At 39.0% G+C, this 24,768-nt stretch overlaps 2 protein-coding genes across 2 annotated transcripts in view, besides 2 other annotated features; one reads left to right on the plus strand and one right to left on the minus strand.

Moving 5' to 3' along the window:
* The window catches only part of ARMC2 (armadillo repeat containing 2), a 204,619-nt gene extending 182,807 nt beyond the window's left edge, over positions 1-21,812 (plus strand). The window contains exon 18 of the mRNA XM_047419396.1: positions 20,530-21,812. Coding sequence (XP_047275352.1) covers positions 20,530-20,636 — 107 coding nt within the window. The 3' untranslated portion in view covers positions 20,637-21,812. The remainder of the gene's footprint in view (positions 1-20,529) is intronic.
* The window catches only part of SESN1 (sestrin 1), a 110,538-nt gene that overhangs the window by 46,920 nt on the left and 38,850 nt on the right, over positions 1-24,768 (minus strand). The gene's annotated exons all lie outside the window — the stretch shown is intronic.
* Positions 14,238-14,532: a silencer, noted in NCBI's record as "tiled region #5156; HepG2 Repressive non-DNase unmatched - State 23:Low". NCBI's record gives its function as "represses a minimal TATA promoter and a strong SV40 promoter by Sharpr-MPRA in HepG2 cells {active_cell/tissue: HepG2}" and the evidence as "EXISTENCE:reporter gene assay evidence [ECO:0000049][PMID:27701403]".
* Positions 14,620-15,187: an enhancer, noted in NCBI's record as "H3K27ac hESC enhancer chr6:109367051-109367618 (GRCh37/hg19 assembly coordinates)". NCBI's record gives its function as "activates a minimal SCP1, AML or CMV promoter by ChIP-STARR-seq in naive H9 embryonic stem cells {active_cell/tissue: H9 hESC(naive)}" and the evidence as "EXISTENCE:reporter gene assay evidence [ECO:0000049][PMID:30033119]".

Here is a 24,768-nt window from a genome sequence, read left to right on the forward strand (position 1 = left end):
GGTAGTCTATAAAGTCAGTAAAAGTGATTAGATACTGCAGGGGGTAATAAAGGAGCCCTAAAAGATTCTCAGCAGTGGTACAAAGGAGTGAAAGCAGTGACTGTGCATGAGAAGCTCAAGGCAAATTAAATATGTGCACTTCAGTGGAAGAGGTAGTGCTACCATTCCACCTCCTCTCCAGCCTCACACCACCACCAAACTTCACAGTCCACCTGCTGGAATCATTCCTAGACTTGTGTATGTGCTCCTCCCTCTGAGTTCAAGTCTTTCCCCTCTAATCATGGCCCACCCCTCATCTTCAGCCTAAAGTTAGAAGTCACTGCGTTGGAGAACCCTTCCCTGACCCCTCCTGGTCTGAGTTAGATGTCCTCCTTTGAAAATTTCCTCTGTGGCAGCACTTATCTCTAAGCACTATAATTTCCAGTGAGCTAGCCAGTCTCCCTTATTAGGCTGAAAGCTCCCAGGGTAGGAAATGGCCCATCTTTTTCCAACACTAAAATCCCTTGGTACATAATGGGTGATTTAGAGGAAGTATAAAGAAGTATATAGTCAGGAAACAGATTTAGGGATTAACTTCCCCTAAGATTACAGGCTGAGTATCCCCTATACCAAATGCTTGGGACCAGAAGTATTTCAGATTTTGAAATATTTGCATATATATAATGAAATATCTTGGGGATGGAACCCAAGTCTAAACATGAAATTCACTTGTTTCATATACACCTTATACACATATCTTGAAGGTAATTTAATATTGTAAATAATTTTGGCATAAATAAAATTTCGTGTTAAGTACTTATATGTGGAATTTTCCGCGGATCACCTGAGGTCGAGAGTTTGAGACCAGCCTGACCAACATGGAGAAACCCCACCTCTACTAAAAATACAAAAAAATTAGCCAGGCGTGGTGGTTCATGCCTGTAATCCCAGCTATTCGGGAGGTTGAGGCAGGAAAATCACTTGAACCTGGAAGGCGGAGGTTGCGGTGAGCTGAGATAATGCCATTGCACTCCAGCCTGGGCAACAAGAGCGAAACTCTGCCTCAAAAAAGTCTCAGAGTTTGGAGCATTTCAGATGAGGCGTGCTCCCCCTGTACATGAAAAGGTAAGGCTGGGCGCAGTGGCTCACGCCTGTAATCCCAGCACTTTGGGAGGCCGAGGCGGGCAAATCACAAGGTCAGGAATTCAAGACCAGCCTGGCCAACATAGTGAAACCCTGTCTCTACTAAAAATACAAAAAATTAGCCAGGTGTGATGGTGCACACCTGTAATCCCAGCTATTGGGGAGGCTGAGGCAGGAGAATCGCTTGAACCCAGGAGGCGGAGGTTGCAATGAGCCGAGATTGGGCCATTGCACTCTAGCCTGGGTGACAGAGCAAGACTTCATCTCGTGGGGGGAGTGGGGGGGAAGAGAAAAGGTAAGAAGACAGATACATATATAACCATGCTAAAATATGGAAGAATATAAATTGGAAGATGGCCTCTTGTCTCAGTGAAGGAGATATTCCAAGCCTTCTTTTCTTTTGTCTACCCAAGCCCCTTAATGAAGGGGAGGGCTCGATCAGGGTCAGGGCTAAGATAGGAAGATATACCTTTTATAGCCATTGCTTGAGGACAATAGGCTGTAGTTTTTTAAAAAACAATTTTTTCTTCTGCTAAAAGGGAAGAATTCAACAACTGTCATTTAACAACAGAGAGCACAGTGCCTTGTAAGAACCCACACAGGTATTTCATTGTATACAAAGATGAATCATAATTCCAGCCCTAAGGAACCTTATAATCCAATTTAAGAAAACCCATGAGGTAGAATTATGTTAAAGGTACAGACAATGCTATGGATTCAGAGGAGGGGAAAAAGTCAAGGGATTATTAAAAATGTTGCAAGCAGGGAGATGAGGTGTTGAGGTGTGATTTTAGAAGATTAAGAGAAACTTCTAGGATAGTCTGAGTTGTAGGGAGAAGCTAAAGACACACTTTAAGCTAAAGAGAGTGCAGTGGTCTGGTTAAGAAGTAACAAAGGTATAAACCAGTGATGCCAGTGGAAATGAAATGAAGTAAATTTAAGTAAATGTAAGAAGGCAGACTGTTAAAAACTGATTATTAATTAGAATAAAAAAATTTATTTCCCAAGAAGCCTCTTGCTTCTTTCTAACTTTATACCCAAACAAATATAAGCAAAGGTGGCATTGTCAGAGGTGGTTTTGATGGAGATGCTTATCAATAGGATGATAAGGTTATTTTCATTTATAACCTGTTCACTTCTGGACAGGATGCCTCCAGCTGTTTTTATTCCATAATGTCCCTCTGCAATTATCTTCAGAGCTTAAGGTAGCACAATTAATTAGAATGAATCTGAACTTTGTAAAAATGAGATCTAGATTGCAACCCCAGCACATTATTTTATCTCCTCATGCCTTAGATTTTCATTTGTAAAATGGGAGGGGCCATAATTCATAGGACAGTTCTAAGAGCAAAATTTGATAATATGAAAACTGCTAGAAACAGGCAAGTTACTGTATGACAGTGCCAAAATGCTGGATTCAGGTTGCCATCTGGACAGAAGAAATATTTATAATAAATTAAGAACAAGCTTTTAGTTAACAGTGCCTCTCATAATTGATTCCAGCCATGTTTCTGTTAGTGATAAGATGACAATCAGATGGACTTAAGCATTCGTAAAGAAGCGGAGGCAAGGCTCAAAGCATCAGCATTAGAGTCTAACAACCTGGGTTACAAGGATAAATTAAATCTCTCTTAGCCTCAATGTCCTCACCCACACAATGGACATGATAACATAGCAGTCTTAGAGAGCCACAGGATTACATGAAATCATGCACAGTGAGTGGTTAATACTAAGTGGTCAGTAAATATTAGTTGTGGGACCTACCTAGTAAGAGCTACAGTACATTGAACCAACTGTCCTGTCTTACTTGGAATATAAATTAATTACTTAGCACAGCATTTTTTAAACACCCATGACTTTACTCCTCCTCTTTGTGTTTTGGACTTGAATAATATGTATTTGAGATAAAAATTATTAGGTATTGATGTATTTTTTAAAATTTGGTATTTGTAATGGTATAATTACTTCTCTCAATTACAACATTTACTAAGTATCTGTAAATAATTTAGTGTTAAGTACAATCTACCCTCACTGATTTTACATATTATAGAATCTATATTTTAAATACAATATTGAATATTATCTCTTATTTATCAATTCTTTGAGTATCTTTCATTATTGATATATTTTCAAGAAAATTTACTGATCAGCATCGTAGAAATGTGTAGTTTCCCTAGCATCTATTCTCTCCTTCTTCTGTGGTTAATACAAGCTCAAATCTTTAGCTGGGCACATTGCCACTGAGAATGAAGACCATATTATCCAGCTTTCCTTGAAGCTGGGTGTGACCAAGTTACTAAGCTCTGGCCAGTGAGATACAAAAGGGAATGGGAGTGTGCATAGTGAATGTCACTAAAGTGAGAAAGCATATGCTTATTCTCCCAGTAAATTCTTCGTCTGTCTGAAATGTGGATGTGATGGCCAGAGCTGGAGCTGTCTTAGAGACAGAAGCCACATCTTGATGCTGTTGGAACAACAGAGAAGGGATTTGAGTTCCTGATGATTATATGGAGCTGCTAAACCAGTCCTGCATTGCCTTTATTTACAAGGAAGAAAAATAAACTTTCCTGTTTAAGAACTTTTATATCAGGGTTTCTGTCACTGGAAGCCTAATCTCATCCTAAATAATACAGAGAAAGTGAAATCTGAATTTCAATTTCACTTATTTTCTTAATAGGTTTTTTCCTCAACTTATGGTGAGAAAGAAGAGATAATGTTAAGGGAGAGAAAAGGGGCAAGAGGATTCATTCAGCTGCCCCACCACTGCTATAGTTCACATCATATTCCTAACCTGTCTTTTACCCCCAACCACTCTAGGGTCCATTTTGCTTTTCATCCTAGAAGTTCAACTCCAAAAAAGAACTGACCCCAAAACAGCATTCATTTGTTCATTACTCAACAAATGCCTGCTGAGCATCTAGTGTGTGTTAGATGCTGAATAAAACAGACCCCTAACTTCAGAGAGCTAAGTCAGGTATTTTAAGAAATGTACATTAAATTTTCCTCTGTTAATTTGTACACTACACCTCTGTGGTCCCAAATTTTCTTATAGGATTGAAGTAAAAGACTGAGTATAAAAGGTCGGGAGAAAGCTGACATATGGAGTAGGTAGGAAGAACCTTAGTACTGGAAATATAGGAAATAAGGTGTTCAGGACTCTTGGGGACAAAGGCAAAGATGTGACTACCCGGCAGAGGGAAAAAAAAAAAGGAAAAGGAAAAGAACACAGTCACTGACTCTTACTGGGCTTCATGTAGCCTTAGAACCTCTGTCACTTTTTTTGAGAAGGGGTCTCACTCTGTTGCCCAGGCTCAGTCATAATGCACTGCTGCCTCAAATTCCTGGGCTTAAGTGATCCTCCCACCTTAGCCTCCCCAGTAGCTGGGACTACAGGTGCATGCCACCACACCCAGCTAATTTATTTCTATTTTTATTTTTGTAGAGATGGAGTCTTGCTATGTTACTTAGGCTGGTCTCAAACTCCTGGCCTCAAGTGATCCTCCTGCCTCAGCCTCCTGAAGTGCTGGGATTACAGACGTGACCACTGCACCACTATCACATATTAATGATTAATAGGGACAAGCTCATTACTAAACTTCTGTAACTCCCAGAGCATAGTAATTGCCCTCCTTATTGTATCTGCCCTTTGTATTATTAAAATCAAAGACTTTCAGAAACCCTCAAGACTCCCCACCATTCTTTTCCAATTCTAGGCCCCATTCAGAATTTCCACCCTCTTCTAGCCTCTTATTAGGACCTTTTCCTACCAAGGTACACTTAGGAAAGAGAGGAGTCATCAGAATGGGGAGGGAGGGAGTGTTGTTGGAATTCTCAGTTAAAATTTAGTTTTTTTCATAGAAACATTGCTAAAATAGAATCTAAATGTCATTACTGCTTCCAGCTTTATAGTTCAGCAAACCTATGCAGTTAAAATCAGCTTTTGTGGGTTGGCTTTACGATTTGTCTGAGTGAAAAAGTAAGTTCAGAGTTTCAAATAATTAATATGAATTTTAACTTTAGACTGTAGTCCTTTTGTGAGGAATGGAAAGCTTAACCATCATTCTTTGCCTAATAAAAGATGGCATGGCACTAATATTGTTACACACTTGGCTCCAGGAGAATGAAAAAGAAACAAACCAGTTTCTGATGCTGGGATCTAGTGTTTTTTGTTTGTTTTTATCTGAGGTTTGAGGGAAAGTGTATTTATCAAATACTACTAAACCAGCTTAACTGTGACAAGTAGTTCTTAATACACTATAATATGATATGATAAAAAAAATTTTTTTTAGGTTGTGGTTTTTAACACTTCACAAGTAGTTTCTTTTCCTGTTAACTTTCAGACAACTCTGCTTAAGCCTAAGCTAAATACCTGGAGGAAGTGCTACCACAATTTTAGCTTTCTTGTTTCCAGTGGCGCTATTATTCTCACCTGTTCCCCATTAGTAGAGTATCATATGTTCACTTACAGCTCTCTTTCTAGCCTAATAAAAATGCTCTTAAAATAATTACAGTAAAATAATAAAACAGTCGTAAATCTGAGAGAGACAAATAGGCATACTGCCCCATCAGTACTAACAAAAAGGTTTACAGATGTTTAAAAACTTTCTTTGGCTTTGGTTCAGCACCTCAGTTAGGAAACTTACCGATCAAGGTCCCTTGTCTTTTTCTACAGGGCCCCCGCCCATAATGTGCTGCCAAAATATAGCTGTTATATTCCTGATACAGCATAAAAAGGCATGAAAACTTTCTAAGTAGTAAAGACAATCTTTCCCTCCCCAATGGGCCATAAGTCCAGAAAAACAAGTTACCTCACTTATGAACCACGCTATTTAAGACTCTGTGATGCAACAATATTGCACTACTATTTTCTATTAAAATGTACTTTTCAAATCAAAATCTTAGCTAAAATGTCCATTAAGGTTATAAAAATTTTGTTTTTTCTCTTATCCTTTTAAATTGGAATTTAGGGCACAGAAAAGAAGTATGTTTTTATTTCACCTAGGAAACATTATTAGGCCGTAGAAACCATAACACTCCACTAATTAGTATCTTTGCAGAGCAATAATTAAAGCAACCTTAATTCACGGGGATGATTCTGAAATACACCAAGATGTTAAAATTCCCTCCATTACACAATGCAATTATTAATATATTCAGCATCTAGTCCAATGTGATGTAATAATTACAGAATTTCAGAGCTAAAACAATTATAAGTTGGGTGAAGCTAGAATAGATTTGGAGCATCTAAGTATTAATACTTTAATTCTATAGATGAAGAAATTGAGAACCAGAGGCAAAATATATGGTTTTAATGTTGAAATATTTATCATATTATAGTTTTTAGAAACTTGGACAATCATCAATAAAATCAAGGCTGGCCTTATGATTTACTAGAGTATATGGCTGCTTGCTTGGTATAATTTCAGAAGCGCTATTATAAAAAAAAAAGGCATAGAAACTTGTCACCCAGATTCTTCCTCAGAGATAAAAATAGTAAAATGATACCTAGTCATCTTCCATTTACATATTTAGTTGATGTTCAACGATGCCTATAATTCTATAAGCTGACTAATTCCATTATCTTTTGTTAAAATGCAAGTACCCTGAAAAATAGAAAAATCATTAAGCAATATAATGGATTCAAACCTTAGGTAGGCATTTAAGGTCAAAATCATGTCTATATGAGTATTCTTGAAAATCTCTTCTGGAAGGTTCCATGCTAGAGACTGACAGCCCACTTCTTAACTAAGGCCAAAGTAGACATTTTGTCCTGCAGCATTAGAACAGATGACTTTATTTTCTAGCACTAGTTGGAGTCACTGGCTTGTATTTAGGGGCTTTGTATAAAAAAGCACAAGCCAGCTGGGCACAGTGGCTCACGCCTATAATCCCAGCACTTTGAGAGACCAAGGTGGGCAGATCACTTGAGGTCAGGATTTCAAGACCAGCCTGGCCAACATAGTGAAACCTCGTCTCTACTAAAAATACAAAATTAGCTAGGTGTGGTGGTACATGCCTATAGTCCCAGCTACTTGGGAGGCTCAGGCAGGAGAATTGCTTGAACCTGGTTGTCAGAGGCTGCAGTGAGCTGAGCTGAGATCGTGCCACTGCACTCCAGCCTGGGTAAGACAAAGCCAAGACTTGTCTCAAAAAACAAAAAACAACACAAGTCTTTAGCACCTGAATTACCTACAGCACAATGAGATGTTGACTCTAAGAGAAGCAAGCAGGAATTCAAGACCAAAGGGAATACAACACATTTCTGTTTCTCATTTCACACCCACTTAGGGGCATATGCTCTGAGTGGGATGTGGGACAGAATTGCCTATGCAATTTATATTTAAAATATTTTCTGCCCTACCTTAAGAAATTTTTAATAAGCAAGAATAGTTAAATTTGCATAAGTTAAGTGTATGAATGAGGTAACTCCATTGTAGGGATCAGCTACTTCCCTAAGAGCAGATTCTGACGGCAATTGGGGCAGAAAGAAAGGAAAAAGAAGAGCAAGAGGAGGAGGAAGAAGAAATGAAGAGGAAAAGAAGAAGGAAGGAGAAAAAAGGAAGGAGGAGGAGGAGGAGAAGAAAAGAGAAGAAGAAAAGAAGGGAGAAGGGAGAAGAAGGAAAAGAAAAAGAAGAAGGAGGAGGAGGAGAAAAGAAGAAAGAGAAAGAAAGAAAAAGAGAAAGAAAGAAGAAGGAGGGAGAAGGAGAACAAGAAGGAGGAAGAAAGGAGGGAGGAAAAGGAGAAGGAGGGAGGAGAAGGAGAAGGAAGGAGGAGAAGGAGAAAGAAAGAAGAGGAGAAGGAAGGAGGAGGAGGAGAAGAAAGAAGAAGAAGAAAGAAGAGGCTCTGTGCCTGAGGGCAAGGAAGGGATACTATAGAGGGTAGGGAAGACCATGACCAAAGATAAATTTTGCCTACTTCACAAATTTGTATGGAATATAAATTGTATATACTGCATAAATCATTTAAGTCATAATAGCTTATTAATCATACCATCTTACATTCTCAAACATGATTAACTGAGAATTTTCTGTAATTTCCCTTCACTTTTACAAACAGTAACTATTAATGTCAAAGTATCATCATTGTATTTCACGATTTTCAGTTCAAGATGAGGTCCAATTTAAGACAACTTGGAGGCAAGAACATCAAATCTGCAAATCACAGAGCTGTCTGGTGACTTTTCTTACTGAGTACTGCCAGCAAGCACTGGCTATCTTTATCTTGATAAGCACTACTAAAACATCTCAAGTGGAGGGGTCATAGTCCCATCACTGGGATTAAAAACCAAAATATATAGATGATTTACATTTGTAGATTCTAAACTTGCTAACCCAAATGGCGAAATGAGTTACTAGAAACGAGAACCAGTATTTTCATAAACTACAAAGTTTCTAGTAAAAGTTATTTTAGCTACCAATTCAGTTTTTTAAGAACCTTGTTGATCTTTCTATTGTCTTAACTAGAGTCTTGTTCATATAGAAAATAAGTTAGTGAAGTGAATTATTGTGGCTTCAACTCTGAAAAGGAAGCAGGATGGGAGAGAGGAGAAAGCACAGTCAAGGGGGATTATTTCATGGCCACAGACTGCATCACAGCTGTGGCTGGGATTTCACAAATGTGTATGTACCAACAGTCAAATGAAGGACTGTGAGAGAATGTGTATGGCTGAGCTCACTTAGGAACCACGACTGGGAAAACAATTACCTGGAAAGAGATGGCCTACTGATACCAAGTACAGTATTATCTTTAGCGTAAAAACTTCAGTCATGAGATAAGAGATTATTATTTGAATTGCTAGTCTTCAACTACAGAACTAATAAAAGTTAAGCAACAACTACCCCCACCACAACCCCCAACTCTCCCTTCTTTCACAAGAGAAATAATCTAGTTTGGCAAGTCTCCTCTCCTTTATATGACATTCCTTTTTATTATATTTAAATACACCTTTTTGAACAAATTATGCAGAAAAGTATTACGACTGAGGATTTTTTAGGGGGAGTAATAATAAATTACTGGGGTTGAAGAAGGATTAAAAGGTTTCATTTATTGTTTTGGACTTCTGATTTCTCTGTCAATTTAGTTGTTAAATGTGGGAAAGTTACTAAGAATTTATCATTTTAGTTGTGCCATTCTCATTCCTTGTGTACATACTTGTCCAAGGACTCTTAGGGTAACGCCAGCAAATTACATCAGGTGTCCCACTACAATGATTAAATTAAAACAGGAATTCTTGGTGTCGCTTCCCTGAATTTAACTTCTTGAAAACAAATGAACTGTTAAACATATATGTGACAAACTAGCATAATCTTTTTTTTTTTTTTTGAGACAGTCTCGCTCTGTCGCCCAGGCTGGAGTGCAGTGGCGCAATCTCATCTCACTGCAAGCTCTGCCTCCTGGGTTCAAGCGATTCTCCCGCCTCAGCCTCCTGAGTAGCTGGAACTACAGGTGCACGCGACCACGCCCAGCTAATTTTTTGTATTTTTAGTAGAGACGGGGTTTCACCGTGTTAGCCAGGATGGTCTCAATCTCCTGACCTCGTGATCTGCCCGCCTCAGCCTCCCAAAGTGCTGGGATTACAGGCGTGAGCCACCGCACCTGGCCCAAACTAGCATAAATTTTTAAAATAACATACCCTCAATTTACAGAGTGTGCATCATTTCAAATTGCAGGCCAGGCACAGTGGCTCATGCCCATAATCCCAGCACTTTGGGAAGCTGAGGAAGGAGATTAGCATGAGCCCAGGAGTTTGAGATCAGCCTGGGCAACATAGTGGGACCCTGTTTCTATTAAAAAAAAAAAAAACAAACCAAAACTAGCCAGGCATTGTGGCATGCACCTATAGTCCCAGCTACTTGGGGGGCTTAGGCAGGAGGATTGTTTGAACACAGAAGGTTAAGGCTGCAGTGAGTTGTGATTGTGCCAGTCTGGGTGGCAGAGTGAGACTCTGTCTCAAAAACTAAATAAATAATAATTTAAAAAAATAAAATAAAATTGCAACATAAAAATAGCAGATGACCTTTTGCTATTTCTCATCTCCAACAACTCAGTAAATCTACCAAACATACTTGTACAAGTACTTACGCCACTAACAAGTAACTATTAAGCCAAAGGAGGGATTTTGAGGACAATGAAAAAGCGGTAGAAGTTATTTACCATAATTGTTGTTTTACTACATTTTTTGAAAAAGCAGGAATTTTTATATTAATACCAAATAAAGTAGACTTCAGAGCAAAGAAAATTACCAGAGACAAGGAGGGACATTATATATCATGATAAAAAGTTAAACCCACCAAGAATATATAGCAATACCCAAATGTACATCCACCAAACAGAGCTGTAAAATATATGAAGGAAAACCTGGTAGTACGGAAAGGAGAAATAAACAAATCCATAATTATAGCAGGAGACTTCAACATTCCTCTCTCAACAATTGCTAGAACAACTAGACAGAAAATCAGCAAAAATGTAGAGGAACTCAACAATATTATAAACCAACAGGATGTAATCAACATTTATAAAATACTCTACCTAATAAGAAAATACATAGCCTTTTAGCATGCTCAGGGAATATATACCAAAACAGAATACATCATGGCCATAAAATAAATTTGAATATATTTAAAAGAATGAAAATCATGCAAAGTATGTGTTCTCTGATCATAACGAAATCACACTAGAAGTAAATAATAGAAAGATAATAGGAAAATGGAAGCCTGGACACATTTGCAAACTAAACACCACACTCAGAAATAATTCATGAGTGAAAGAGGAGGTATCGGGGAGATTTAAAAAATATATTGAATAGGATGAAAATGAAAATACAACATATCAAAATTTGTGGGACACAGCTGAAGCAGTGCTGAGAGGGAAATTTATAACACTACATATATACATTAAAAAATAAAAAATTCAAATAAATGATCTAAAATTCTATGTCAAGAGCCTAGGGAAAGAAGAGCAGTATAAACTGAGAATCAAGCAGACAGAAGAAAATAATAAAGAACAAACATCAATGAATTTGAAAACAGAAAAACAAAAGAGTAAAAGAAAATCAGTGAAACAAACTGCTGGTTCTTTGAAAAGAAAAAAAAATTGAAAAACCTCTAGCAAGACTGACACGGGAATTAAGAGAAGACATAAATTACCAATATCTATTAGGAATGAAACAGAGGATTATTGCGAAAAAAAAAAAACAAACCTGCAAAGACCAAAAGATAATAATGGAATACTGTGAACATTCTATACTCATACATTTGACAAGTTAGACAAAATGGGTCAATTCCCACCATAACTCCATAACTCACCTACTATGAAATAGATCACCTGAATAGCCCTATTGCTATTAAGAAAATTGAATTTGTGATTTTTAAAAACTCCCCCAAAATAAATTTCCAAATCCAGTTTATTTCACTGGATAACTCCACCAAACATTTAAAGAATTAACTCCAATTTTACATAATATTTTCCAGAAAACAAGGAGGGAAAAATTTTCAATTATTTTTATGAAGCTAGTATTAACCTAATACCAAAACCAGACAAAGACAATACAAAAAAAGAAAAATACAGCCTCATGAAAATGGAGGCAAAAATCCTAAACAAAATATTAGCAAACAGAATTCCACAATGTATAAAAAGCATTATATATCAAGATTTAGGGGGATTTATTCCAGGAATGCATGGCTGGTTCAACATCTGAAAATCAATGCAATCTACCATTTTAACAGGCTAAGGAAGAAAAACCATATGTTCATATTAATTGATGCAGAAAAACATTTGAGTAAATTTAACACTCATTTATGATTTTTAAAAACTTTCAGAAAAATAAGAACAGAGTGGGAGTTACCTCAGCTTAAAAACTTCTACAAAAACCTACAGCTGTTTTTATACTTAACGGTGAAAGATGGAATGCTTTCCTCTTAAGATTGGGAAGAAGGAAAGAATATTTACTCTCACCACTCTTACACAACATAGTCCTGGAAGTTCTAGTCAGGGCAATAAGGCAAGAAAAGTAAATAAAAGCCATACAGATAAAAAACAACAACAACAACAAAAACAACAAACGGAATAAATAACAACTGTCCCTACTTATAGATGACACAATTATGTACATAGAAAATCCCAAGGAATTTATAAAAAACAACGAATTCCTAGAACTAATAAGGGAGTTGAGCAGGTTGCAGGATACAAAGTTAATATACAAGAGTGAATTGCTTTTCTATAGACCATCAGTGAACAACTGGAATTTGAAATTAAAAGAATTACAATAAAAAAGAAAATAGGCATAAATCCAACAAAATATGTATAGACTCTATACACCAAAAACTACAAAACTCTGATCAAAGAAATCAAAAATCCAAATAAGTGGAGAAATATTCAATGCTCATAGATTGGAAGACTCAATACTAGTAAGGTGTCCATTTTTCCCATCTGTAAGTTCAACATTCCAAATATAATCTTGGCAAGCTATTTTGTAAATGTCAACAAACTGATTCAAAATTTTATATGGAAAGGCAAAAGACCTAGAACAGTCATACTAACTGTTTTCATGACTTATTATAAAGCTATCATAATTAATACAGCATGATATTGGTGAAAGGACAGATACACATATCAATGGAACAGAATAGAGAGCCCAGAAATAGACTGATAAAAATATGGTCAACTTATTGTTAACAAAGAAGTGGCCAGGTATGGTGGCTCACACCTGTAATCCCAGCACTTTGGGAGGCCAAGGCAAGAGGATTGCTTGAGCCCAGGAGTTCAAGACCAGCCGAAGCAACACAGGGAGACTCCACTACTACAAATAAAAAAAAAATTATCCAGGCATAGTGGCACCTGCCGGTGATCCCAGCTACTTGGGAGGCTAAGACAGGAGGGCTGTCTGAGCCAAGGATACCAGGGCAGTGAGCCGTGATCACACCACCACACTCCAGCCTAGATGACACAGTGAGAACTTGCCTCAAAAAAAAAAAAAAAAAAAAAAAAAAAAAAAAAAAAAAGGAGTACAGGCAATTCAATGGAGAAAGGAAGAAAGGATAGTCTTTCCACCAAGTAATGATGAAATAATAGGACATCCATACGCAAAGAAAAGAAAGAAAACAAAATGATTCTAGACATAAACCTCATACCCTTAACAAAAAGTAACTCAAAATGGATCACAGACCTAAATTTAATATATAAGACTAAAAAACATCTAGAAGAAAACATAAGAGAATATCTACATCTAGATCACCCTGAATGATCTCACGCTTTCATCACTGACCAAACCTGTAATTACATCTCAGTCCTTTCTCCTGAATCTGAGGCCTATTTCTCTATCTACCTAATATATTTAATCTTGATGTCACACAGACATCTCGAATCAAAAAATAAAAAATAAAAAGCTGAACTCAGCCGGGCGCAGTGGCTCACGCCTGTAATCCCAGCACTTTGGGAGGTCGAGGAGGGCAGATCACCTGAGGTCAGGAGTTTGAGACCAGCCTGACCAACATGAAGAAACCCCATCTCTACTAAAAATACAAAATTAGCTGAGCGTGGTGGCGCATGCCTGTAATCTCAGCTACTTGGGCAGCTGAGGCAAGAGAATCGGTTGAACCCAGGAGGTAGAGGTTGCGGTGAGCTGAGATTGCGCCACTGCACTCCATCCTGGGCAACAAGAGCGAGACTCCATTTCAAAAAAAAAAAAGCTGAACTCATCACCTTCCCCAAACCCATTGCACTACGCTACCACCTCTTATATTCCCTATCTCCACGAAGGCCTTCATTATACCTCCAGTTGTCCAGTGCAGACACCTGCAAGTCTGTGCCTAGCTAGGCTCCTCTGACACCCTTACTAACCTCTTGTCAAGTTCTGAATATTCTACATCCTAGAAACTGTAAAATCTATCCCCTATCCTCAACCTCACTCCCAACCCCATCAAAACAGTCCCTCACCATGTCTCTCCCAGATTAGAACGATAGCCTCCTTTCTGTCTCAATGCCTTTGCCACCTTCTAGCCTATTCTCTACACTGGAGAAGTCTTTCCAAAATGCAGATCTGATGATGATATAATCCTTTATAGGTTCCCCCTAACTTTCAAAATAAAATCCAGATTCTTCACATGGCATATAATTCCATTTCAGATTGCATCTCTGCCTATGTCTCCAATGATACTGAGTTCAACTTACTTACAGTTCTTCAAACACAGTAAATCTCATGGTTCTGTACTTTTGCACATGCTAATCTCTCTGACCAGAGCACCTTATCTCTCACTTCTTCAACTGGCCTCTCCTTAGTCAGGCTTCAAGAGCCAGCTGAGGCATTACTCTTCTACAGCGCTTACCCTGGCTACTCCCTTTCTGTATCCCCTCATCCCCAACCATCCAAAGCCTTTGCAGAATTCTCTTGCATGGCACTTACTAGTATATACCATAACTGCCTGTTTATCTTGCCCACCTGTCTGTGAGCTCCTTGAGAATGAGACCTTTGCCTTATCTGTTTCTCCAGTGTCTGGCATGGAATGTTACACAGAGTAGATAATACATGTTTCTGAAATAAATAAATGTGAGGCACGATATGGAAGAACTCTGATTGAAAATAAGAATTTGATTTTGAACCCATATGGGCTGAAAAAAGCGTATTCTGTCTTTTGCTCTAAATGAAAAACCAATGCCTCAACTTTCAATAATTCATATACTTTGGAACATAAGTAAAAAATATTATATTTACAAGCTTAAAAAAATCTAATGCAATAAGATAATGTAGCTCTAGCCCTCTCCCTCTCCCTCTCCCCACGGTCTCCCTCTCATGCGGAGCCGAAGCTGGACTGTACTGCTGCCATCTCGGCTCACTGCAACCTCCCTGCCTGATTCTCCTGCCTCAGCCTGCCGAGTGCCTGCGATTGCAGGCACGCGCCGCCACGCCTGACTGGTTTTGGTGGAGACGGGGTTTCGCTGTGTTGGCCGGGCCGGTCTCCAGCCCCTAACCGCGAGTGATCCGCCAGCCTTGGCCTCCCGAGGTGCCGGGATTGCAGACGGAGTCTCGTTCACTCAGTGCTCAATGGTGCCCAGGCTGGAGTGCAGTGGCATGATCTCGGCTCACTACAACCTACACCTCCCAGCCGCCTGCCTTGGCCTCCCAAAGTGCCGAGATTGCAGCCTCTGCCCGGCCGCCACCCCGTCTGGGAAGTGAGGAGTGTCTCTGCCTGGCCACCCATCGTCTGGGATGTGAGGAGCCCCTCTGCCTGGCTGCCCAGTCTGGAAAGTGAGGAGCGTCTGCGCCCGGCCGCCATCCCATCTAGGAAGTGAGGAGCGCCTCTTCCCAGCCGCCATCACATCTAGGAAGTGAGGAGCGTCTCTGCCCGGCCGCCCATCGTCTGAGATGTGGGGAGCGCCTCTGCCCCGCCGCCCCATCTGGGTTGTGAGGAGTGCCTCTGCCCGGCCGAGACCCCGTCTGGGAGGTGAGGAGCGTCTCTGCCCGGCCGCCCTGTCTGAGAAGTGAGGAGACCCTCTGCCTGGCAACCACCCCGTATGAGAAGTGAGGAGCCCCTCCGTCCGGCAGCTGCCCCGTCTGAGAAGTGAGGAGCCTCTCCGCCCGGCAGCCACCCCATCTGGGAAGTGAGGAGCGTCTCCACCCGGCAGCCACCCCGTCCGGGAGGGAGGTGGGGGGGGTCAGCCCCCTGCCCGGCCAGCCGCCCCATCCGGGAGGGAGGTGGGGGGTCAGCCCTCCACCCGGCCAGCCGCCCCATCTGGGAGGTGAGGGGCGCCTCTGCCCGGCCGCCCCTACTGGGAAGTGAGGAGCCCCTCTGCCCGGCCAGCCGCCCGGTCCGGGAGGGAGGTGGGGGGGTCAGCCCCCCGCCCGGCCAGCCGCCCCGTCCGGGAGGGAGGTGGGGGGGTCAGCCCTCCGCCCGGCCAGCCGCCCCGTCTGGGAGGTGAGGGGCGCCTCTGCCCGGCCGCCCCTACTGGGAAGTGAGGAGCCCCTCTGCCCGGCCAGCCGCCCCGTCCGGGAGGGAGGTGGGGGGGTCAGCCCCCTGCCCGGCCAGCCGCCCCGTCCGGGAGGTGAGGGGCGCCTCTGCCCGGCCGCCCCTACTGGGAAGTGAGGAGCCCCTCTGCCCGGCCAGCCGCCCCATCCGGGAGGGAGGTGGGGGGGTCAGCCCCCTGCCCGGCCAGCCGCCCCGTCCGGGAGGTGAGGGGCGCCTCTGCCCGGCCGCCCCTACTGGGAAGTGAGGAGCCCCTCTGCCCGGCCACCACCCCGTCTGGGAGGTGTGCCCAACAGCTCATTGAGAACGGGCCAGGATGACAATGGCGGCTTTGTGGAATAGAAAGGGGGGAAAGGTGGGGAAAAGATTGAGAAATCGGATGGTTGCCGTGTCTGTGTAGAAAGAAGTAGACATGGGAGACTTTTCATTTTGTTCTGCACTAAGAAAAATTCTTCTGCCTTGGGATCCTGTTGATCTGTGACCTTACCCCCAACCCTGTGCTCTCTGAAACATGTGCTGTGTCCACTCAGGGTTAAATGGATTAAGGGTGGTGCAAGATGTGCTTTGTTAAACAGATGCTTGAAGGCAGCATGCTGGTTAAGAGTCATCACCACTCCCTAATCTCAAGTACCCAGGGACACAAACACTGCGGAAGGCCACAGGGTCCTCTGCCTAGGAAAACCAGAGACCTTTGTTCACTTGTTTATCTGCTGACCTTCCCTCCACTATTGTCCCATGACCCTGCCAAATCCCCCTCTGTGAGAAACACCCAAGAATTATCAATAAAAAAATAAATTAAAAAAAAAAAAATCTAATGCAATATTTTTGCTGTCAACATTCACTGAAACAGTGACAAGAAGAATGACCTTCACAAATGCCCTCCCTTAATCTTTTGTCTTCCAAGATCACAAAGGCCTCAATAAACATTCAGATATCTCCAACTGACCCTGCTTGTATGTGGTGCAGGCAGTTTAACCACAGGTGAATAGTTTGAGGAGCCACCTTCCTGAGACATTCATTCCTCCACCTCCCTTGTTTACTTGTCTTGAGATCTGCACCACAGTATTGCACCGTGGGTTTAGTTAACAAAAGTAGTGAAAGTATTTTTAAAGGATTACTGTTAAAAGGTAGTGACTGCATAGGAAATACCAAGGCTGTGCTCTGAAAAGGCAGCCACCTTCTCTAGCCTCTCTGTTTAACACAACCAGGTTTATTAGAACAGATAGAAGGGCCTTTACAAAATCTTTCCCAGAGGACCTCTAACCTCTGAGAGGAGTGAACTCCTTCCACAGGGGATAATATGGTGACAAGCCTGTGGGTAGATGGCCACAAGTAGGAGAATTTTTTTTATGTCAAATTTTAAAATCTTATTCCCTAATACAGCTATGCTTATTTTTAACCTAAAATAATGCTGTTCATTACTTACCAGTTAAATTACCTATCTCTTCCTCATCCCTGCCTCCCATTCCCCTGATTCTAAATTCCAGGAAGATACATCACAATTTATTCTATGTGTTCCTGCATACCCTGGGATATGGCCATATATCACAGGCTGTAATCCTACTCCAATGTGTGAAGTTCAGAGCTATAAAAAGTGACGGGATGAGTACTTAAAACATAACAATGGTTTCCTTCTCTGTTTCCTCCACTAAACAGCAAGTCTCTCTAGGACTTAGTGTCTTTGTCCTTTTTGCTTAGCACGCTTCTTTGTACAGAGCTAGCTTTCAACAAACACCTGTAGAACATGTGTATGAATAAATGACAGCTATGATTTCTGCAAGGCTTTGAGAACATCTTGGCACATAAAAGTAGGAAAAGTTGGTATCAAAAAAAAGAGGATGAATGGATTTTTAAAATGTGTTATATACACACAATGGAATACTACTCAGCCATAAAAAAGAAGGAATCCTGTCATTTACAGCAACATGGATGGAACTGAATTTATGATAAGTAAAATAAGCCAGGAACAGAAAGTTAAACATCGTATGTTCTCACTCATATGTGAAAGCCAAAAAAAAAAAGTTGATCTCATGGAAGTAAAAGGTAGAAGAGAGGTTACTAAAAGCTGGGAAGAGTAGGGGGAAAGGGGGGAATATGAAGAGATCTGCTAAAGTATACAAAATTATAGCTAGATAAGCAGAATAAGTTCTAGTGTTCCATAGCAATGTAGGATAACTATAGTTAACAATATTATATATTTTCAAACAGCTAGAAGAGAGGAAATTGAATGTTTTCAACACAAAGAAATAACTGTTTAGATGACGGATTTGCTAATTATCCTGATCTGATCACTGCACATTGTAATTGAAACACTATTATGTACCCCATAATTATGTACAATTATTATGTGTCAGTTAAAAAATAAAAAATAAAAAGGAGAGGGGACGTATATTTATATTAATATATTATATACTAATATTGATGTATAATATATATTATGTTGAAATCATTACATATATATTTATATGTATTTTTTAATAGCATAGAACTGAAAGGAAGTTAACTTACCAAAATACCCTCTTTAAAAAATTCTCAAGAAAGTTGCATCATGGGAATTAAATGTCAAAACAAATAAATACCCAGAGAAGAGGAAGTAAATACATCTCCATGTCTGACTTTGGTTTGAAACATAGGCAACAGCTTTAAAAGAAATTTTAAAATGAAGATTTATAAAACAGTGTTGTAAAATACAACAAAGGAAAGGCTGTAAGTAAAGGAATAACAACTGATTTTTAAAACTCTGTATATGAAGTAAAATACTGGCCAATTTAGTGAAAAAGCCAAACTGGTGGATAGGCATCTGATTTGACTACTTTTTCACTTTTCAACAGGTTTTATGGGATGACACAATCTTGCTCTACTCACAATGGAAGGGAGGAACTTCAAATCTAAACATGTCCAAACAGCAATAACTGGCCCAACTCAGAGCTGTTCAAAGACTGACCAATTGTGCTACCAGCTGAAGGTGGCATCTGTCTGCAACAGCGCCATTAAGTAGCAGTCAAAACATTCAGCGGCTAGAAGCAGAGAACACATCTCCAGCCTAGAAAAGACACACAGAATGCTATTGTTTAAATTGTTAAAAAAAAAAAAAAAAAGTCATTTTAATGTACAGTGAATCATAGACTTTCCATCTTGCAAAGGAGACAGTATGGCAAGTCTTTAAATATTAAAAATAGACTTTAAATATATAAAACTGATTGAAGGAGGAAAAATTAGTTGGACTGGTCTGAAAGACTGATGAAATTAGCTTCCTAAGAGAGGCAGGCAAACATCAAAGCAGTCTCTAACTTTCAAATAACCTATCTATACAAATGGGCAGGCAGCAGAAGTTCCCTCCCATTCCTAAATCAATAGACTTACATAATCCTTAGGTCTCTCAGCCTAAAGGCAAAAGCTGATTTCCAGTCTGACCACAGGAAGACCAACCTTCCAAGAGAGCTATCTTCTTTTAGTAATCATAAGGAATTAAAAAAATACTGCTGCCAACAATCACTCATCCACCACTAGCATCCCTTCCTTTCCATTCTTACTTTCTGGTCTCCAGGTTCCAGCCTAGCAAAGGAAGGCAAGAAGGAACAAACACAGCTTCTACTGCTTAGGTAGGGGGAATGTGGTCCTCAGCCACCTCCATAGAAATAATATTATGAGTGGACGTTTGTTATGGTTAAAGTTGTTCAATTAGCATGACTTCAAGTAAGAAGGGCTGAATACCTTTTTTGAACTGATTCCTGAAGCTAATCACCAAATATTAATGCTGCTTAGACACAGAAATATAACCTGAGTCCTAAACAACTAATTTGCAAACTAACTTCAGAAGCAAACAGGAAATCTCTTAAAAACAAAAAAAAACAACAAAAAAAAACTCATTTCAGAAATCAGTTTCATGATGGTTTAAAACTTCTTTTGGATCAGTAGCTTTAAAATTGGTTTTATAAAACAGCAGGGTGCAATGAAATTTCAGAGGATCAGAATATTATAAAGATTTTTAAAAATTATTTACCAAACATTGAAACTGAGTCAGACAATAATGGTGCTACTTCAGTGAAAAATGTAACACATCAGTTGTGTATTTTTAACATAAAAGGAGTTGAACAAACTGCAACATTGTATATTAGTGAGTAATACTATATGAATGGACTCTTTGAAGGAGAAAATGTAACCCTTTAAGGAATGTTTAAATAGGGTCCTCTTATTACCTTTTTGCTTACCATTAGAGGTCAAAGATGGGGTTCTAAAGTATGAAAAACACTTAAAAGCTTGTAGAATTACAAAGAGTTTAGAAATTGTGGTCACTGGTTTTCTTTTTTTCTGTAATTGAATACAAGATAAAAATGATAAATCATTAATGTGACATTGTCTTACTCCATTTTGTGCCACTGTAACAGAATACCTGAGACTGGGTAATTTATTTAAAAAATCTTTTGTTTTGTTTTGTTTTCTCTCACAGTTCTGGAGGCTGGAAAGTCCAGGGTCAAGATGCTGGCATTTGGTCTGATAAGGGCCTTCTTGCTATCTCCTTACATGACAGAAGACAGTCGAACAAAGGCAAGTTAGCCAAACCCTGTGTGAAGCCTCTTTTATAAGGACCTTAATTCCACTGATGAAGGAGCAGCCCTCTGGCCTAATCACCTTTTAAAGACCCCACCTCTTAATACTATCACATTGACAGCACCCAAATTTTGGAGTGACACATTCAAACCACAGCAGACAACAATGGCTTATTAGCTTGGTGCAAAAGTAATTGAGGTTTTTGCCATTACTTTTAATAAGACAGATGTAGAAGATAAGTTTCAAACCAAAGTCAGACAGGTAGCTGCAAATACATCAAAATGAAAATTCAACAAAGAAAGGAATTGTTGCTTATTTTATTATAATCTCATCCTCTTAGCCTAAAACAGTGCCTGGCACTTTGTAGTTGCTCAGTAAATAATTGTTAGATAAATGAATGAAGTTTCCCTCTATAAATTCCAGAAATATTTGAGAAAATTTTAAAGATAATTTTTGTTATTATAAAGCAATGTTTTACTGTAAAAGTGAAGACTATATTGATATAAATATATAAGCATAGACACAAAATGATTAAAATTGATCATAATCCTACCACTCAAAGAAAGCCACTGCTATTATAACACACTGGTATATTTACTTTCAGTTCTCTTTCTTATGTATATTTTTAGACAGCTGAGATCAAACATTACTTAAAATAGTTTATCTAGACTTCAATGTTCACTTAAAGTTTTAATATAATCCTTTCCCAATGTTATTGAAAATGAGAGTATTCATTATGTACTTTTTAAATGTTATATTTAAACATTCCAAAAGGCCTGAAAACAATTTTTATTGACAAGCAGGTTTTATATAAGTTACTGGCAGTAGATTATTCTCTAGTCATTGATATTGAATTTGTGATTTATAGGCTTAAAGGCAAAACTATACTACAGGAAACATTTCAACCATTAAGTATGCAGTTTTGAGACGAGACAGAATATTCCTTTAGTTCATTCATTTGTCCCTACACTCGACAAATATTTATTGTTGACTTAATCCAGACTAAGTACTGAGAATAGGATGAGCAAAACTACACAGCTGCTACCCCGTAGAGCTTATAATCTAGTCAAGGGAGACAGACATTAATCAAACAATCAATAAAGTAATTGAAAGTTGTAAATGTTAGGAATAAGAGGTATATGGTCATATACGTCACTATTCAATAAAAGGAGCTGTTCAAGACTAGGATGTGTGTGTGTGTGTGTGTGCGTGCGTGTGTGCACAGCAGGGAATTGGGGGTAGGAGGTAGGTTGGGAATAATTTTGTCTAACATTTAAGAAGTACTTCATTCAATGCTAGTGAAGCCTTGTGTTGGAAACATATGGCTTCTCTCATTTTCTTATTTGATAATCACAGCATCTTATGAGTAAGAATTATCTTCCTTCACCTTACAGATAAAGAAATTGGGGCTCAGAGATAAGTCAAATAACTTAAGATTATACAGCCAGTAAATAATGAACTGGGATGAAAACCCAAACAATAAGACAACAGAGCGCTTAAGTCATATGCCACATATCCCACTTCCCTGCATAACTGACAATTATACTAAGATATAAAGGATAAGCTGGTGTTAATAAAGCATGGTGTGGGGGAGGGGAAGAGAGAACATTCCATGCAGACTGAGAAACATGAGAAAGCCCCAAGACAGGAGAGGCTGCTATAAATTAAAGTGGGAACAACAGCAGTAACAAAGCCAGTGAACTAAGTAAGGACACAGAAAGTAATGGGAAATATGGAGATGAGACTGGGAGATGAGGCTGGGCCAGTGAAAGCCCTCATGGGCCACATGAAGGACTCTGGCATTCCTAAATGCAATGAGAAGGCATTAGACGCTTTCACTGCTTTTATCTGAAATTCAAACACTTAAGGGAAAGAAAATTCATAAAGGTTGGATCTCATGAAACAAGAACTAGAAGGACGAACACTCGCTCAGTTTTGAAAATATTTTCTAGGACCTATCATATCTGTATTAATAAGTATGCATACTTCAGGAATTTTAAAAGTGGTAGCTTTTGAATACCCTTTAAGATAAACCAAATGTAGACAAATTTAACAGAGGCTTGGGTTTGCCTTCTGGGTCTGGGCAATTACCTTTACTTTGTGCAATTTTAGTAGTTTTCATCTTTATTTTGGAATTACTTCTTGCCCCAGTTTTTCCCTTGTCAATTTTTTAATATTTTTAATATTGTTGGCAAGACATTTCTTTTCGTTTTTTCTTAATTTTTTGGGGGGGGAGGGATCTGGGAAAAATTCCCTGAACATACATCTAAGTAATTGTCAATTTAATTTTCTGCCGATTATTCATACCAATGATGAAAAACAAATTTACTTAAATATAGAAACTAAGACTAACTCTGAAAGTTATGATGATGGAATAGAACTTAAATGTCATAGATCTTAAGAATATTAAAATAATAACTTGACTAACAAAAATACGAGGTAAGAGGAAGGAAAAAACAAGTTCATTAATTTTCTCAGTTTAACAGAAGAGAATGATACAGTCTAAAGGTGAAAAAATATTTTTATACTCGATTTTTTATAATCCTTAAAAAATACAGTAAAGAATTCCTTTAGAGCTCTATTGTGAAGAAATATTATTTTTGCCCTAAGTGGAATTACTGATAAAAAGATAAAATTATGTTACACCAATTTACATGTCTATAAGCAGTGTATAAGAAAGCTCATTTTATAACATCCTGACCTACACGAGGATTATCTCCTGAAGGACAATCTACTAAGATAGTAGGCACAAAAAAAATAATAGTCTCTCAAAAAATTTCTTCTGTCATTGTAAAGTTGAGCTTTTTGGCACACTTGTTCAAAATTTTTATTTACCACATCCATTTTTCTATTTTTGTCTTTTGCTTTTTCTTATGATTTTATGAGCTTCTTTGCACATTAAGAATATTAACTTTTTCATATATGATACAACTCATTTTTCCAACTTGTGGTTTATATTTTAAATTTAAGGTACTTTTTGATGTACTTAATTTTTATGCAATCAAAACTATCTTTTCCATTAAAGCTTTCTTCCCTTGCTTTTACGCTTTAAAAGATCTTCCCTAACTTAAGGTCAAATTAAATAGCAGCTCTATTTGTTAGTATGAGGTAGGTCCAAATTTTATACTTTTCTCCAAGAAGGTGAACAGTTGTTCCAGTATATTTATGGAACCAGCCTTTTGTCCAAAACATATGGATACATTTTTGAGGCATGACATCTGCTCACACAAGGTTCTAATCCTCACCTCTACCTGCTAATAGCTGTGTGCTTCTCCTTCCTGAAGACAGAATCCTCTTTTAACCTGGTCCCTGGGTGAAAAGAGGAAAGGGAGGGTAGGATAACCCTGGTCCTTATCTCCGTTCAATTTATTTTTTGCATCTAACTCCCTTCACTTTCCTCTCCAATCCTTCTTGGGTCCCTAGTTTTTCAGACTCTACTTTCTTGTTTTCAAGTTGTGTGGTATTTTTCAGAAATGTAGTTTGGTATTAATTAATGAAAGAATATATAATAAACAGAATGGTGGCTGGGTGCAGTGGCTCATGCCTGTAATCCCAGCCCTTTGAGGGGCTGAGGTGGGTGGATCACGAGGCCAGGAGTTCAAGATCAGCCCGGCCAAGATGGTGAAACCCTGTCTCTACTAAAAATACCAAAAAATTAGCCGGGTGTGGTGGCAGGCACCTGTAATCCCAGCTACTCGGGAGGCTGAGGCAGAGAACTGCTTGAACCTGGGAGGCGGAGGTTGCAGTGAGTGTAGATCATGCCACTGCACTCCAGCCTGGGCAACAGAGCGAGACTCCACCTCAAAAAAAAAAAAAAAAAAAAAGAAAGAAAGAAAACCAGAATGGTTATTTCAATCAACAATATGGTTCACAAAAGTCTAGTAACCATTACAAATAAAATTATCACTAAGTAAAATAGTGCCTAACAGAGATTATTTTTAAATTTCCAAAAATTGTGTAAGATCTGTACTCATTGTCCGTGATATATAGTAGTTACTCAATATGTTTGTGGTTGGGAAGAATTTTTCTTTTTGGATCTGAAAACTGGCATTGGGTATAGTTTTAGATTTCAGAATTTTTACTGCCTAAATATTTTATGCAAACAAATGTAGAAGAATACAAAGGAGAAAGTAACCTA

The sequence above is a fragment of the Homo sapiens genome, chromosome 6 (genome assembly GCF_000001405.40).
Source record: "Homo sapiens chromosome 6, GRCh38.p14 Primary Assembly".
Classification (NCBI taxonomy): Eukaryota; Metazoa; Chordata; class Mammalia; order Primates; family Hominidae; genus Homo; species Homo sapiens.